Source organism: Homo sapiens, chromosome 7, assembly GCF_000001405.40.
Source record: "Homo sapiens chromosome 7, GRCh38.p14 Primary Assembly".
NCBI classification, from domain to species: domain Eukaryota; kingdom Metazoa; phylum Chordata; class Mammalia; order Primates; family Hominidae; genus Homo; species Homo sapiens.
In genome coordinates this window covers 137,440,966-137,459,093 of record NC_000007.14, presented here as the reverse complement: position 1 = coordinate 137,459,093, position 18,128 = coordinate 137,440,966, and the positions used below count along the sequence as shown (strand labels likewise).

At 37.8% G+C, this 18,128-nt stretch overlaps 1 protein-coding gene across 8 annotated transcripts in view; it reads left to right on the top strand.

Annotated features, from left to right (window-relative positions):
- DGKI (diacylglycerol kinase iota) overlaps nucleotides 1-18,128 on the top strand; it is a 465,938-nt gene that overhangs the window by 387,881 nt on the left and 59,929 nt on the right. For all 8 annotated transcript variants that reach the window (XM_047421022.1, NM_001321708.2, XM_047421021.1 and 5 more), the window contains one exon: nucleotides 14,992-15,017. In XM_047421022.1, coding sequence (XP_047276978.1) covers nucleotides 14,992-15,017 — 26 coding nt within the window. The remainder of the gene's footprint in view (nucleotides 1-14,991; nucleotides 15,018-18,128) is intronic.

Genomic DNA, 18,128 nt, shown 5'->3' with positions numbered 1-18,128 from the left:
AAAGATATACACATACCTACTTATATGCAGATCCTATAGGAAAGACTGTAATTCCAAAGTAGGATACGCAATGTGTATAGTGTCTGCAAAACCTGTGAACATAATAACAAATATTTAAGAACCAATTTTGAAATGAATTGGTGAGAAGTGGTTGACTGACATTATTACTGCTGGGACCATAATGATTTTTTCTTTAAGTTAAAAAAATTTTTTTTCAGTGTCCAAGGAAGTTCTATTTAAAATGACATGATTCTGGAAATGTATTTGCTCTTATCATTAATTGTACCACCACGATTAGTGACAAGACTATATTTCATTTGGCAGAAGATTAATAGAGAGGGAATTTACTTAAATTTTAGCAGACCAAATCTATTTGAGTTGTAAGGAAGAATTTTGCCACTTGAGGATCTATGAGAAAAGAAAATAGGCATGGAATGAAAACTCTGATATATTCTTCTTAAGTTTTCTTTGAGAAAAGGACTGACTCACCTCTGAGTCAGGTGGGTTAAGAGCAGGCAGGTAAAGGGTCTAGGAGACACTGCTTTTGTTTCTGAATCAGAGTAACCTTTTTCCGGTTCTTAGATTTTGTAGTTCGTAAGAAACCCCCAAATGACTGAAAGAGTTGTACTTTTTCTCAATGTCCCCAAGTCCTAGTCCTGAAAGAACTAAAATGGACTGTCACACAAATAATATCTTGCCACTAGACTAAGACACAGGGGAAACAGTGTAGTGAACCACACCGAGGGTAGATATTCAATCCAGATAATTGTGTCTAGGCAGGTATCTGGTACCCGATCAGCTGCACAAGGCTAATGGGTTTTTATGATTGGCAGAGGATTTCTGTCTTCAAGGAAAGATAATGCTATCAAATGTTTAACTATAATGTGTGAGGTCTGATTTGTGATTTCATTGTGATTACCCTAAGAAATAGGGTAAACAATTCAGTCAATCGTGTATTGAACAAATCAGTATTGGGCACCTTCAGTGACTGAAGTCAGGCACTGAAGATATACAACTAAAGAAGAAATAATTATTGCCCTTGAAGAGCTTATATTTAAAGGGGAAATATTAAACCAATTATTAAAGTTCCTTCTAATAAGTGCTATTATGGATATATGCATAGAGTGTTCTGGAAACAAGAGGAAATATAATTTGCTGCTTTTTTTTTTAGATTTAACTTTTTTGACCCTAGAAATGATGAATATTTAAAGAATTAACGAAAATGTCAGCCTCAAAGAAAAAAAATAGGCTTATTAAGTGTTCTATGTGTATTTTCTTCATTTTTTACATGTGAACAGATAAGTATTTGTCCTTCCTCATTGTGTAAACCAGAAATATCTCTCAAATAATGGAAAACATTCAATGGTAGTTCAACCTCTCCATATGCTATGTGTGCTCAAGGAAATTTGGACAACCGAGAAATTATTTGGAGATACCAAGATACCTAATAATACTTTAAACTGAAAAACTGGCCTTTTTAGTATAGTCTGCAATTGCAATTCTGAATCACTATATCGAGAAGATAAAGCCCGGAGACCTCCTGTGTTCTGAAAACTCAGATGTTCTAAGCTGATTATGGGAGAAACAACATCATTCCCCTCTGGTCCTCAACTATTTTCTTTATTCAGTTTCTTCTGGGAACATTAGGTTATGGCCTGAACCTAATAAAAAGGGTAATTGTGCTTATTGTGAAAGTTTCAGGTTCTCAACAGGAAGACAGACTGTTGGACAGCGATTTTGATTTTGGAAATATTCTTTCAGCTTCACAATCAGATAAGCGGGAGAAAATTAATCTTCTTAGTGGGATGCAGGTTTTGCTGAAATATATCTTAGAGATGAAATCAGTGCTGTCAGGATAAAGATGGCTCCTGGCATCTGTTTCACTGAGATAGTTGGGTCCCGTTTCTACCTACCTTTGACATCCCTGCTTACCTTTGACTGGGCTCAATCTTGCTCACCCCGGATACTCATTCCAGCTGGAAAAATACAGGATAGCTGACATATGTCTTCCTTCTTCTTTTTCTTCTTGACTTACCTTGAGTTTGAAATGACTTGGTGAATTACTCTATTTGGCAAGCACATAATAACACTCTATTCCTATGGGTGTGTGAAATATTTAATAAGAGATTTGCCTTTGTTATTTTTAGAATTGTTCCTCAATCAGTTATGCATATGGAGGCCCTAAACCACTCGGAGGAAATGGATTTAAATTTACCTTTCCAAGTTCAGTTAGTGGAAGAGTTAGAACAGAGTTCCCTGTGTACCAGATCTTATTTTGACTGACATTGAAAGAAAAACAAACAAACTTACTTTAATGTTAAACATCCATTTTATTTGAAATAATCCCAGGAAATTCTCGCCCTTCATTGCCATGAGTTCCAAGTTTTGCCAATGATTAGAGTATGAGGAAATATTAGTGTTAAGTGGCTCTCTTTTTACATTTGTAAAAGCTGGCAGCCATATTTATTCACACTTCAGGAATACTGTGAATGTGAGGCAGTATTGATTGGATCCCTCTTTAAAGCATGTGAGTTCCTTGGATGACCAAACTGTGCATTTCTCCCTCTGTCTCCATAGCACTTTGCACCATACCTAAAATGGTAGGCATCCAACAAGGCAGGCTTTTGGGATGAATAGAAGGATGTTCCATTCATAGAACATCCCTTGATAGAAAAGGTGCTTTGTCAAACCAAAATAAATACGTGTCTATTTATATTGCTATACTAAACCCAGTACTTATCAAATTATAACAAAATAATAGTGATAACAAAATAATATGTAAAATGTTGACCATTTTTGTTAGGCTGTGGGTTCCATTTATATATTTCAAATTTGAATATAAGTATGCTGGATCCAGGGAATTCACAGATCAAAATAATAAAGACACACCTGAATGCCTGACTTGGAGAAATGTTGGTATTTCACAAGCGAGAAAGTAAAAGGTAAGTATGGTCGGTATAGGAAGTTGTAGGCACTGTTGGTGAGCACAGTGGTAGGTAGAGTGGCAAGGAAGAATTGTTTCCCAGGCATTCACCTCCAAAATAAACTGTTGGTCCCCGGCTGCATTCTCCAACTTCCACCAACACTCTTGTTTTCTCAGTGTGTCTGTCTTAGGTGAATAATTTGATTAAACAGATCTAAAGTGTGAAAGAGTGATCATTTTGAAATATTTTCAAAAAAATTCGCTTGCAAATCTCAAGTTGCTGGGATGTGGAGCAGTAATCACTTACCATGTTCAGTGTGGAGTTGAGGAATGTGAGAGGGATGTCATATTATCACTGGAAATGGTGGTGGCTGGGGAGTCATATCGGGCATGGGACTTCTCTGCGGTACTTCTGGGGCCCTCTGAACCCCCTACTCTAAGAAGATCAGAACAAGAGATATCTCCACACCATGCTAGCACTACTTATTTGGAATTCAGGGAGATGGAGACCACATTCCCCGCCCCCCCCCCTTTTTTTTTTAACTTTTCTGGATGATTGTGCCAGGCATCACACATAAGAACAACAATCCTCCAACAGTTTTCTCCAATACTCTGTGAGATGCTGGTCTTACTCCATGACTCCCTTACAAGCTCCTTAAAGGTGGGAATGGAATGTTTTAAGTTAAGTACCTCCCACAGCTCTTGGAATAGAGTTAAGTACATAGCAGTTCTTAATATCTAACACTGGAGTCACTGAATTATTCTCACAGTCTGTCGAGCCCATTTTAATTTCTTGTTTTCAATATTACTATGATTTATCTGCATTCATTATATTTTTTTTCACAGAGCTCCTCGAACTGATCTATAACTGAGAAACTCTCTTGTCCTTAGACACATTAGAGTCAGGAGGAAGCAGACAATGTTTAGATTCTGTTCCCACCCTCTCCTGAGAAGGGTGGGGTGGGAGGAGATGTTGTCAGAAAGCTGCTGGGGTATGTTACAGTTATCTTCAGAGGTGCCAAACCAGCTTCCAACCCCGCCTAGTTTTGTCTCCCATTTTCTAAAACTGGGATCAGAAGTCCTTATTTGGATTTCCTAAAAATAAGTAGCTGTGGCTGAGCCCTTACTCAATTACCACAGGGAGATATTGCATATCCGGGATCACGAGATAAGTGAGGTGCCTTGCTTATAAGCCCCACGTGCTAAGACTAAACGTGGCTCTCATGTGACTTGCCTTCACAATCCAGAGCTCCCTCATGTTTCAACTTATGCTTAAAAAGAAAAAAAAGAAGTCCACATTTACAAAATCCAGATGGATTATGTCTCAACAGAAGCTGTTGGCCGGGGTTCCCAGAGTCACTAGGATAAAGCTGGCAGCTTGGCTTTTCCTAAAGGGTCCTTCCTCCTGGCTCTCCGGGTATGTCTCCGTTGTCTGGATTTTAGAATAATGTGCCTTTTCTATTTCTTCACCCTTTTTTTTAGAAAGTGGGCTGGCAACTATATTGCAGAGACTGATTTCTAAAGGCAAGCCACCCATCCTTTATTGCTTCACAACTGTGCTGGGTTTAATTATTTCTTTTTTCATTTTGTCTACAGAATGCTAAAATGTGATGGCTACATCGTCAGGATAAATAAGCTTGTGAAGTATTATTTTCTCCAACTTCATCTCTTTATTTTATCTATTTCTTTTCTGTGTCCACTGTCGCCCATTCTTCCTCAATCTCTCACATTTCAAACTGCTTTGCCCTCATTTTGTTGCAGTTCTTAAAAGTTAACAGTAGGTGGCAGTAAAATTTTATACTCGAAAGACATTCAGGCGACTCAGCAAACTGAGGAGGGTATACAGAAAGTATGGAATTGTAAATGCTAAAGGTAAAACAGCGTTTTTTTAAAATTAGTTTTTAGACTTTTTAATTGACTAATTGCATATATTTATTGTGTACAACATGATTTTTTGAAGTACGTATACATTGTTGAATGGCTAAACCTGGCTGATCAATGAATGCATTACATCACACAGTTATTTTTGTGGTGAGGACACTTAATATGCACTCTCTGTGCATTTTTTAAGAATATATTATATCATCATTAACCAAAGTCACCATGTTGTACAATGGATCTCTTGAACTTAGTCTGCTGAACTGTAATTATACGTCCTTTGACCAATATCTCCCCAACCTGAACAGTGCTATTTTCTAAAAGCCAAATATATCTAAATATAGGAATCTATTTAAAAAAAAAAAAAACAAGATATTTCAAGCCCAGCTCACATGGGGGTCATCAAGGCATATATTTGGGTAGGTGAGTCTTAAAGACTGGGAAATTATGATAATAAAGGGAATTGGTAGAAATTTGTATCAAATGAGGAACTCACCAAGCAGCCTTTATTATTTACATGCTGGAAATGATTTCCTTCCCTCCACACAAATGCTCATCTCTGTCTTCTTCCTTTCATTTTGCTCTTTCTGCACCCCTTCCCTCTGTTGGTCATGAATGTTACCTTTGAGGCTGCTTGGCATTCCCTGAATGGGTTTGTGACCACTTGAATAGAGAATGTGTTTGTCTTTCTCTCATTTCAATGCCACTCTGTGTGTTTGCTGTAACTTTCATCTCTCACTCTCATTCTCGCCTGCTCTCTTTTACTGTATGTGCTTTGTTCACTGTTTTAAGAGAAATATTCACAATTAGAAGGACCAAAAGCAAACAAAGAGAGGATTATGTAGTCGATGGAGATTTGCAGTGCTGTGGGATTTCTGGTCCTATTTTACCTAATTAGAGATGCTTTGGGGCTAGAGTGATAATGGTGAAGATGTCACACAGATCCATGGTCTCATTCTTTCTCCCTTGGGTCCTCCAAATGATGTCATAGGCCTGGCAAACTAGTTCTCCAGGATAGGCAATGCACCCTTGAGAGATGCTCAAGGGAAGAAAGCTATTGCACAGAGATGATAATCTGCAGCCATGCTTTCACAGCACAGTAAATCATACCTTTGCTCACTTGATTTGAATGAAGATTCTTGTCTACCAACAGTTTTAGGAAATAGATGGAATTTGTGTAGCATCACCACTTCACGGTAAAACAGAAGAAAAAGATGAGGTTTCTGCAGTTGTGATGCAGACCGTTGAAATGTGCCTGGAGAGAATGCCCAACTGGGAAATCGGTTTTCATTCGGGACTACGTAGGAGTGTAACAGAGGACAAGCATCATGGCTCAAGAAGCAGGGAGGAAAGTGGAACCTGGGGAATGCTGACCAGGCATGAACATTCTTACATGTTCACCATAGGAAAAAGGTGTGAGCACATGATGGGAGGCTGTTCTATCCAGGAAAGACTGGATTCCACCCAACTGTGACAAAGGTAAATGAGAAAGTCCAGGAAACTCTCAGGGCTGTGGTCAGGAGAGGGGAAAAGAAATACAAGTAAATGACTGAAACGACAGAGAAAGAACATTCAGAGCTGACATTAAGAGCTTCTCTTTCCCTTCCTAAGTAGGATGGATCATCACCTGATGTTTATAGAAAGTGGTCTTTTTGCTGTGGTTCTCATCCCCAAAGCTAGACAGTAAAGAGGAAAGACAGGCATGAAAGGGAAATTGAATAAAATACGCATATAGTGAGTTGTTTTCAGTGTGTGGACATACGTGTGCTGCTTTGTTCCCCAACAAGAACTTCACAATAAGGAGTGGTGTACTTATTTGTAGTGTGCTGTGTAGGGTGTAGAAGGAGCACGGTGTCTAGCTTGCCCAGCATTCCCGCTTTGTTTCCTTTTCTTATTGCAGGATGGTAGCCAGAAAATGAAGGGGCCTTGGCTATTTCAGTCAGGCCCGTGAATTGGATGAGTGTCTCCCACCTCTTCTACTCCATCCATAGTCTGTGGTCCTGGGGAATCCCACTGCTGAGTGTTTTCAGAATATGAATCTATGCTCTTGTGCCTATTTAAACTCTGCTGTCACACCTGTCCTGCATGTTTATCTTAAGCCCATCTCTATGTGGTGGCCCCATCCCTTGGCCAACTCCCCACCAGGTGATGGTTTAGCAGTGCTGAGTAGAAGGTATATGTGTTGGGGACACGGAATAGAGATAGACATTCATTTGTAGATGTTTCTTTACAGAAAGTAAGAGTCCCATATAGAGGCATCCCCAATATTTATCTAATCTATCCTCTGTTCTTTAGGAAAGACTAATGGATAATCTATTGACATCCTATCTCCAAAGAAGGAAATGATGTAGCCATTCTGAGGAAGGGCCAAGTAGGAAGGCCATGGGTGCTTTTAAATTAAAGCCATGAGATGATGAAAAAAAATAAATAAAGCAAAATATGCATAGAGTCTAAAAAAATAAAAAGAAAGAAAACTGGACAGTGTTATTGAAATGAAAAGGATATTGTATTAGGATCAGCTTGTAAGTTTTGATCATTTCATGGAGCTTACCAAGAAAATGCACATATCTAAAACCTATTGTAAAGTATATTATACCAGATATAAAGACTGAAATAGTCGTGACACCCATTATTTCATTTCCAGGTTTATTGACTAAAAACGATAAAACATCATAAGAGGTGCAATACTTTATAAAGTCCTTTGCCTTCCCAAATATAATACTCATTTGCTTTTATGTATTGCTCTTTTGCTGGTAGAAAACTGGGCACATTTTTCAGTGCCCTTAAGCCTTGTAATCGATCTACTAGAAAGATAAAAGGCTTTGAAGGAAAATTTGTGGATTGAAGGCAATCTAAAAAAAGTATCTTTGAGTTTCTTAGAGATGCTTGAGTTTAGATAGAGTGCTGTCTGTAATGCAGCAGCCACTAGCCAATATGTGCTGAATGTCTTGTTCCCTGATTTGTGATATCTCTATATATTAATCTAATAAAATGATTCATTCCAAGATATTATAGCTGTGTTTAGTTGGGTAATTTCATATATTCAGACTGCCATGACAACACTCCGTTCCAGAGGAACAAACTTACTTCCTTGGGAACCTGGAGACTTGTCTGAAGCTGACTGCCTCAAACACAGATATCTGTTTTGTCCTGTTTTATTTTTTGTTTGTTTGTTTGTTTTCGAAGTTTGTGACTTTAAAAATTCAAGGGACTTTTGCTTTTGGATACATAATATGACTGTGCTGGTTTCAGTATGAAAATATTTTAATTTTTACCAGTTAAATTACATAATATTCTATCTAAAATAGCATTTTGTTTTCCAAGAGCTTCCCTTTTTTTCCAAGTTTCTCTGTGTATGCTAGTTTGAAAAGTTGTCTTTATTTTAGAGACAATATGGATATTCTCATAAGCAGGGTTAATATTGGGAAGGGTACTTTCACCAGCAAATATTCAGATCAAGATTCATGGAAGAGTAAATCCAAAGTAAAATATATATATATGTGTATATATAAAGATATGTATATAATTAAAAATATGTAACTATATATTATTTTAATTTTTTATTTTTTCGAGACAGAGTTTCGCTCTTGTTGTCCAGGCAGGAGTGCAACGGTGCAATCTTGGCTCACTGCAACCTCTGCCTCCTGGGTTCAACTGATTCTCCTGCCTTAGCCTCCCAAGTAGCTGGGATTATAGGCGCGTGCCACCACGCTTGGCTAATTTTTGTATTTTTTTAAGTAGAGACAGGGTTTCACCATGTTGGCCAGGCTGGTGTCAAACTCCTGATCTCAGGTGATCTGCCCGCCTTGGCCTCCCAAAGTGCTGGGATTACAGGGGTGAGCCACCATGCCCAGCTATTATTCTAGTTCTTTAAAAATAATTTTAAAATTGACATAAAATTATTATGTGTTGTATACAACATGATGTGAAATATATATAACCATTAATTATGTAGCTAATTAACGTATGCATTACCATGCATAGTTATAAATTTTATTGTGAGAGCACTTAGCATCTACTCTCTTAGCATTTTTTAAGAATGCAGTGTATCATCCTTAACTATAGTCAGCATGCTATACCATAAATCTCCTGAACTATTCTTCCTATCTAACTGTAACTTTGTCTACTTTGAAGAGCATGTCTCCCATCTCCCTCACCCCGAAATGCCCCAGCCTCTGGTAACCTCCATTCTACTCTCTACTTCTGTGAAATCAACATTTTAGATTCCACATGAGTGAGACATGCAGTATTTGTCTTTCTCTACCTGGCTTATTTAGCTTAACATAATATCCTTCAGGTTCATTGATGTTGTTGCAAATGACAGGATTTCCTTTTTTTTATGGCTGACTAGTATTTCATTGTGTATATATACCACATTTTCTTTATCCATTTGTACGTTGATGGACACTTAGGTTGATTCCATATCTTGGCTATTGGTAATTGTGCTGTAATAAATGTGGGAATGCAGCTATCTTTTCAGCATGCTGGTTTCACATTCTTTTAATACTTACTTTTAATATTTACCTTATGATTGCTGAATCATATGGTAGTTCTATTTTTGTTTTGTTTTTTGAGGAAACTTCATATTATGTAGGTTGTTTCTTTGCTCTGGTGATTGTTTCCTTTGCTGTGTAGAAGCTTTTGAATTTGAGGTAATCGCATTTCTCTATTTTCGCTTTTGTTGCCTGTACTTTTGAGGTCATGTCCAAAATAATCATTGCCCAGACCGATGTCGTGGAGCTTTTCTGTTTTCTTCTAGCAGTTTCATGTTTGGGGACTTACATTTAAGTCTTTAATCCACTTTGAGTTGATTTTTGCACATGGTGTGCAGTAAGAGTCTAATTATATTCTTCTGCATTTAGATATATGCTTTTCCCAACACTATTTATTGAAAAGACTGTCCTTTCCTTATTATGTATTCTTGGAGCTTTTGCTGAAAATCAGTTGGCTATAAACATGTAGATTTATTTTCCGGCTCTCTATCCTGTTCCATTGTTCTATTTGTCTGTTTTTATGCCAGTGTCATGCTGATTTGGTTACTGTAGCTTTGTCAAATATTTTGAGGTTAGGTAGTGTGATGGCTCCAGCTTTGTTCTTTTGCTCTAGATTGCTTTGGCTATTCAGGGTCTTCTGTGGTTTCATACACGTTTTAGGATTGTTTCTACTAATCTGTGAAGAATGTCTTTGGTATTTTTATAGGAATTACGTAGAATCTCTAGGTTGCTTAAAATACGAACATTTTAGCAATATTAATTATTTTAATTCATGAGAAAGAGATGTCTTTCCATTTATTTGTATCTTTTTCAATTTCTTTCATCAATGTTTCATATCTTAATAGATTTTTAATTATTATTTATCTTCTCTTAATCTTTTTTCCTAGTGCGGTGGTACCACAGTGGAAAAAGCCACAAGTTTCTTTAATAACAACTAGTTCAAAGACTCTGGGCAGACTTTTGCTCTTTTTGCCTCCCTGTAACTATTTCTTGATCATTTTTCTTCTTTAAGTTTACATTTCACAAATGCTGTATTTACCCCTACCTCCCTTCCTTCCCTCCCTCCCTTCCTCCCTCCCTTCCTCCTTCCCTTCCTCCCTCCCTTCCTTCCCTCCCTCCTCCTTCCCTTCCTCCCTCCCTTCCTTCCCTCCCTCCTCCTTCCCTTCCTCCCTCCCTTCCTTCCCTCCCTCCTCCTTCCCTTCCTCCCTCCCTTCCTTCCCTCCCTCCTCCTTCTCTCCCTCCCTTCTTCCCTTCCCCTTCCCTCCCTCCCTCACTCCTTCCCTCCCTCCCTCTCTCCTTCCCTCCTTCCTTCCCTCCATTTCTAAATTACACGAAGATTTATTAATCATTTTTATCTGCTTTATGCCATCATCTTTTTAGTGTGTTCTTTGCCTGTGTTTTGTGTTCTCCTCTGGTATTTTTGCATAGATGTCATGCTGGTTCTTTTCTGTTATTACTTGTAATATTTGCATTGGGTGAGTTTTTTTTTTTTTTTTTTTGAGCTTCTAGTTTGGGATGGATGGTCGGTCTTAGTGATTTGGTGTGCTGCTCTTAAGTTTGACTTTGTCTCTGTTATCTTCAAACTTTTGCTTATCAGCATCCTCTTCTAGGTTTGGGTCTACTTCTGGCTAGCAGAACACCCTGGCTCAAAGTGGAAGGCTTTCTGCCATAGATTTTGTTGTGTATGAAATAGTTTATATCTCTTTAGCTGACTAAAATCAAAATTATCTGTTTCCCTAAAACTTAGCTCTATTTTTACTGTACTTGGTAGCTCTTCTTCATGTATGATGGTTTGGGCTTATAAATACCTAGTTTAATCAAAGAGGGTATTTCCTTTACCATTTCTCATCCTCCCTGTCATTTTCCATGGGTTTCAAAAAAATTGAAGGGCAGAGGAATTTTTTTTCTGTGTTACTAACATGGAAGTTTTTCAGTCATAGTCTTTAACTTGAGCTCTGCCTTTTAATTTGTCTTCTTGTTATTTTATGGTTCACTCTCCACTGCCTGCTCATTGCAGAATGTGTGACTTCTCTGCCTCACAAGCTTGCTCCATTTAGCTTAGAAGGTAAATTGCAAGTACTTCACCGGGGCCCCACACGCCATGTATGAAATGGCCCTTGCCACTTATTTCTCAAGTCCTTGCTTTTGTTACTCCTTTACATTCTAGCAATACTGAGTTACTTGTATATCTGGTAGGATTCTATGCAATTTCATATCTGTACTCCTTTTCACACGCCTATTGCTATTCTGCCTGGAGTTCTTCTCCTTCCTAACTTACCTAATAAGCTCCTCTTTATTCTTCAAAGCCAAGTTCAGATGATTCTTGTTTTTCTAAGCCTTCTTTCACACTTTTCATACTGAATCAATCTCCCTGTTCTCTGTGCTACCTCTTTGCCTCATATATATTTTGATCATTATATATTTTTTACATTATAATCATTTATTTACATATTTTTCTTTTTCACTAGATTATGAGTTCCCTGAAATTGTTCTTTGTGTTTCCTTCCCTTGGCACATGGCCTGGTAATAATAGGGTCTCAAGTAATAAATTGAATCAACATAAATGGAGAGAGTCAAACCTGAATAATAATGATTTAGGCTTAGTAGGAGAAATATTTTTAAATGCATGGCTTGAATTTTTGTTTTGTATTATTTTGCTGCATTTAAGCAAAATAAAATGTAAAAAGTACCAAAATAAATAAAAACAAAGCACAAACAAATATGAATATTCTGTAGCTAAAGGACTCATGATCAGGAAAGAAGTGAAGAGGACAGCTATAAGAATGCTAGTAATAGTTTACACTATAAGGGCAGATGCTTGCTCCAAGATAAAGTATACATGGAGGAAAAATAAACAGTCTGGGATACAACCACATGTCTTTCAGGTGTGGTGAAAAGAATAACCAGAGGGCTTTCCTGCATGCCTCAGTTGTCAGGTTTAAGATAATTATCTCTTTTTGGGATTGAACCTCTGTTGTTAAAATAACTACTTATATTGCTGATTTCAGAATATTTCTTCTCTCCTGAGCTAACTTCTTTCCCCTCCCTCTCTCTCTTTCTTTCTTTCTTTTTTGAGACAGAGTTTTACTCTTGTCACCCAGGCTGGAGTGCAATGGCGCGGTCTCGGCTCACTGCAACCTCTGCCTCCCAGGTTCAAGTGATTCTCCTGACTCAGTCCCCTGAGTAGCTGGGATTACAGGCACCCACCACCATGCCCAGCTACTTTTTGTATTTTCAGTAGAGACGGGGTTTCACCATGTTGGCCAGGCTGGTTTCAAAATCCTGACCTCAGGTGATCCACACATGAGCTAACTTTTTATGCCGATTTCCAGCAATAATGGATGATGTGCATGTCTCAGTAGTGCAGTGCAGTAACTTGTTGCAGTGAAAGGTGAAATACTGAGTGAGGATGGAAATACTCCATATGTCTTAAAATTCCACAAAGCCAGGCATATGGGAGACATTCAACATGGAAACTCAACATGACTAATTTTCACAAAACACTCTGAAATTGATATTTTATCCACTGCCTGGACATACTGCAGAATGCGTCCCCTTGGGACTCTAACGGAGCCATCTGGAATTTTTCAGATTTAATATCAGGGCTTTGCTTTTGCACAAAGCCAGCAAAGACCTTGCTTCACAAGCTCTCCACTTGAGACATTTAGTTGTCCTTTGGCATGAATTTTACTTTGTTCCTGTAGCTCTGTGACAAATTAATTGCAAACAATCCAAGACACGTTTTCACTTACTTCTCATCAGCAAACACCAGGAGGAAAGATATTTCCTTGTGGCTGATTCTAGTATGACCTAAGCACCTGAAGAAATTAGCTCATCTTACTTAAAATATAGGTTCTCTTTTAGATTCAGCTTCTAATTTCATTTCACCTCTCATTCAATACTCCCCTCCCCAACTTTATTTTTAATAATAATGGAGGCAGAATATGGGTGCCTGTGTTTCTGGGTGCTTTTGATGTCCTTTGGCTCTGAGAGTGTCCACATTATAACCAATTGGAGCTTCAGGCACTTTCAAGTCTCTAGGACTTTTCCTTGCAGCTGGCCTAGGAGCAGGCAAGCTTGTCTTAAGGATGGTTTTACAGTAACATGATGACTTTTTGGGAAGCTCCAGAATGTGTCAGTCTGAATATCAGTGTGATGGAACTGAGATTAATTCAATTCAACACATTTTAATTAAGGGCTCATCTGTTCTAAATAAGATACAGCCTTAGTTTTCAAGGGGGTTACAACCCAGTGAGAAAGGCTGGTATGTGGATGATAAAAAATAAGGGAATCCAGTGGGAGGATAAATCAACCCTACCCAGGGAGGCCAAATGGTGCTTCTCAGGCAGTGTTGACTAGGGATTGTGGCAGGTTTCCGCTCACCACCCCCATGTCCATCTCCCAGAAGCCAATTTTCTTTCCACCAAATCTTGGGACTCTGTAGTTTTCATGAAAAAGTCTACTTTAAGAGATTTGCACAGTTGAAATAAATTGATACTTTGCCACTCATTGAGGTTCAAGGCCTTTTCTCCTTTACCACTGTGTCTTTATTCTTTACTGTTCACTCACATAATAAACAGTAATCTTACTAACCAGTAGATAAAGTCATATCAAGCATCCCAAAGTAGCTAAAAATTATTTTCAACCATTTTTGTATTGACTGAATGATTCTTGTCCTGAGGTTTATCTTCATGTCTCATAAATATTAGTTATAGTAATTGGCAGCTCTATTGCCAAACTCCTGAGTTTATCTTTGGCCATTTCCCTGCTATGGATTTGAGTGAGCCAATCATTCAGAGAAGAGGACTCCTTCAAAATAGGGGAAGTATGTGATGTCTTGTCTTTCCCTTCGAAATTTCAACAACTCTGAATATAATGTTATATGTCTCTCTCTTTCTCCTCAGAAAAGAATAAGTGTGAGTCAAAGCCGTAGTCTTCAAGCTGGAGGTGAATTCATCTCCAAACTTAGGTCTATACTACTCAAAGTATTTCAACTAGTAGTCAACTGGGGGGAAGCAAGCCTTTTAGGGTTGATATGATTTTTCATTTGAGATCTGATTATCATAATTAAAGCAGAACTCACATATAGTTTGCAAAAGTTGTTGATAAAGTTCTGAGGAACCTCAGTGATTGCCTTCTGGCCTCATGCTGTTTCTCCCGGGTTCTGAGACATAATGCAGCGAATAGAGGGTCAGCTCACTCAAACATTAAATTCCATGAAGAGTGAAAACAAAAACTGGTAATGATAAGGGTGCATGCTATTTCTTTTACCTCTGTCTCAATTTATACTGTTCAAGTAGATCTCTTTGTATCTACAGACACCCAATCTAATGCTTTTTTTATATCCCTGGCTGGAGCCATGTCCTTGGGCAATACACATCACAGGATTTCATCTATACTACATTTCTATGAGTTCTCTTTTTTTGTGTGGTAAATCTAGACTTAGCTAAGTTTGTTGCAGTCCTAGGACACCATGCATAGACTGATATTTTAGTAACCTGTAACATCCAACCAATCCAGGTAAGAGTTGGGAATTGTTGATTGAAATATACCATGCAATCAACACATTAATTACACTGTCTACTATATTGACTTTCCATTTAATTCAATTTGAGGGTAAAATTACTATGAAATTATTCTTGATTATCATTATAATTATCATATAAAATATTGATCATGCTTATTATTTCCTTTTAGGTCACCAGTCTCTTCAGAAGATCATGGTAAGAATCATCTGTCTTATTTATACCAATTCAGGATTGAAACTTGACCCCTGGTCTTTGCAGTTCATTGTCAGAGCAAATAATTGTTTAAGCAAATGTCTCTAAGATATTGGCTTTGTGGTTTTTGAATGTGAAATGTCAAACACTTTTAAAAACTTAAATCACCCTAGCTGAATTTGATATCTTTCAAATCTGTTCCAACCCGTCTGGTTGACGAATATTGTGAAGCCTTAATTTATTCTGCCTGATTTCAGTCCCATCAGCAGAAACTTTTTGTGGTTTTGTGGTTTTGGACTAGTCCTGTGCTTTTTATGACTCAGATTTTTATCCTTAAAATGATAAAAATTTTTGTGGTAGTTTGTGGTAGATATTCCCTACAGTCCCTTCCAGAATGGACATTGGGATCATGTTCCAATCACTCATTTGTGAAGAGCACTCTAAATCTGAAAGGAAGGCAAGCAGTCAGTGGTATTTGTTGTTACCCAGTTGAGATGAATTGTTTGCATTTTAAGAGACAGCTAATTCACTCAAAAGAGAAAATATCTCATTTTGTTCCATCTCACCTTTGGAGTTGTTCATTTATCCAATCAGTCACAAAAGTGTTAAGTGTCTACAATGATCAGTTATGCTATGTAGTTATGTTTTACAAATATGCTATATGGAACTTTGGTTTGGGGCCCCTTTGTATCTTACTTGGACTTTGGAAATTCTCTCATAATTGGTATCCATACCTCTATATTTCTTTTCCCTAGTACACTGTATACCGGGCTAGCACCAAAATGATCGTTCCATAGTAAAAATCTGCTCCGATGGCCTCTAGAATGAAATCTTTCCAGCCGACCAATAATTGTGTTCAGCTTTTCAATATTGTATTTTAGCATGGACTAGTAAGCACTAAATGATGGAATCTTTGTCTTCCTCCACTGCTTATTGCTTCATTTACCATCTTTTCCCTTCTCCTACCCATGATCTGTTTTCCAGCCATGTGACAATACATCTAATTCTACATCAAATTTCTGGAGCTCACCATCTTTTCTGCCATCTCCCTGCTTTTCTCCATACTGTTCTCTCTGACAGGATGCTACTTCTTTTGCCATATAGATGGTTTCTATGCACCTCACCTCATCCTCTGTAAGGGCTTGCTGATCTGCTTATCGTTGTGCCTAATATTTTTCTACATTCTAGGGCTTAATGCGCAAATTTCATGCTTTATTTACCTGTTTTCCCTATTAGACTATGAGTTCTTTGATATAGTTTCCAACGAAGAGCAAACAAGGAAAAAGTGTTTATTAAATGAATGAATTAAGAAAAGGGAGAAGGAGTTTTAGGCTGGCCTCTTCTACTGCCACATTGTGAAATCTGACTTAGTACTGGAATGAAGTTGTGTTATTCTCTATGAAGAATCATAGGGAAAATTATGTTCAGGCCCATTAAGTCAGGATCAGGCAATTGACCACCTAATGGTAACCTGCTATTATGTGCTATTTTGCTGATTGCTGTTGGTATTACTAGGTGTTTGCCCATTTATATAGGCCCTTGGGCTTCCATGTTCACATTATAAACTAGAAGCTTGTGTTTGGTTTTTATTTTGAACTAGGATTCCCTTTAATGACTTTTGGTTGTCTTTGCCTTCCTGTCTATGAGAATTTATTCCTCATTCAGACAAAAATGGTGGGTGAGGGAAACTTGTGAATTATAATTTGATAATCCACTAGGACTTCTTAAGTGGTTATGAAATAATAGGGGGCATATGTCAGGGTCCTTTGAAGTCCTAAAGGGTGACTACTGACAGAAAGACTTGCTTGGAAGATTAAGAGCACTTCAGAATTGATTATTTTAAGAACCTTATATGTGATTAGTTGAAGAAACATTATTGAAATTAGAGGGCCATTATAATTTCATGGCTTCAAAAAATTTCTTACATGTTCATACCTCTTAGTTTGTTTCTGTGACTTCCAAAAATAGTTCAAGTACATAATGCAAAATTATAGTGATGATTTACCTAATCCTATGTAATTGTTCATCATTTTCTAGCCCATATATTCTTGAAAAAAAGCTTTTTTCTTTATTACCAGAATTTTCTATCCACCACTCAAAATATATTTCCTTCTTTTTATACATTTTTAAGAGCTCATGTGTACTATGGCTAGTATAAAACCTCTTGAATGTTATAGCATCAATCTTACATATTATTTGTACACAATAATGGCATTGCAACACACTTGTAGGAGAGGTGAGAAGTAGCAATTTGTCTTTCTCAAATTTATTGGTAGAAAATTTAAGGCATGTTGGACACATGGATTGTGAAATTGGAATATAAAACCTTACGTCTCTTGATTTTCTATTTTGTTTGCTTTCCTCAAATAGTCCTCCCTCTGTAATAACTAGTCACTTTGGCTCTAAGACAAGAACTTATTCTTGGAAAAATCTAATTTTGCAACGTCCAATAACCCTGGTATTTTTCATTCCCATGGTACTCTTGCATAGAGAGCTTAAATACAGTGGCTTTGTCCTTTACCTTATCTTGTTTGTTTTCTTTTCCTTGTCTGTAAAATGGAGCTAATCATAAACTGCGTACCTCATGGGATTGTAGCAAGTTCAATTGAGAAATCATTTGTGAAATCACTTTCTGATTTTTTTTTTTTTTTTTTTTTTTGAGACGGAGTCTCACTCTGTCGCCCAGGCTGGAGTGCAGTGGCACGATCTCGGCTCACTGCAAGCTCTGCTTCCCGGGTTCACACCATTCTCCTGCCTCAGCCTCCCAAGTAGCTGGGACTACAGGCGGCCGCCACCATGCCCGGCTAATTTTTTGTATTTTTTAGTAGAGACGGGGTTTCACCGTGTTAGCCAGGATGGTCTCGATCTCCTGACCTCTCGATTCGCCCACCTCGGCCTCCCAAAGTACTGGGATTACAGGCATGAGCCACCGTGCCCGGCCCACTTTCTGATTTGTTAAAAGCACCCCAAACATAGTATTATTCGCTAGCATCCAGGCAGTAGAAGAGGAAGCACAAGTTTATCTGTGATGTTTGCTCGGGATTATGTTCCGCCCTTGAAAAGTTTAAAGAGGACGGGAGAGAATAACCGTTTTTTTCATTATCATTAAATTTT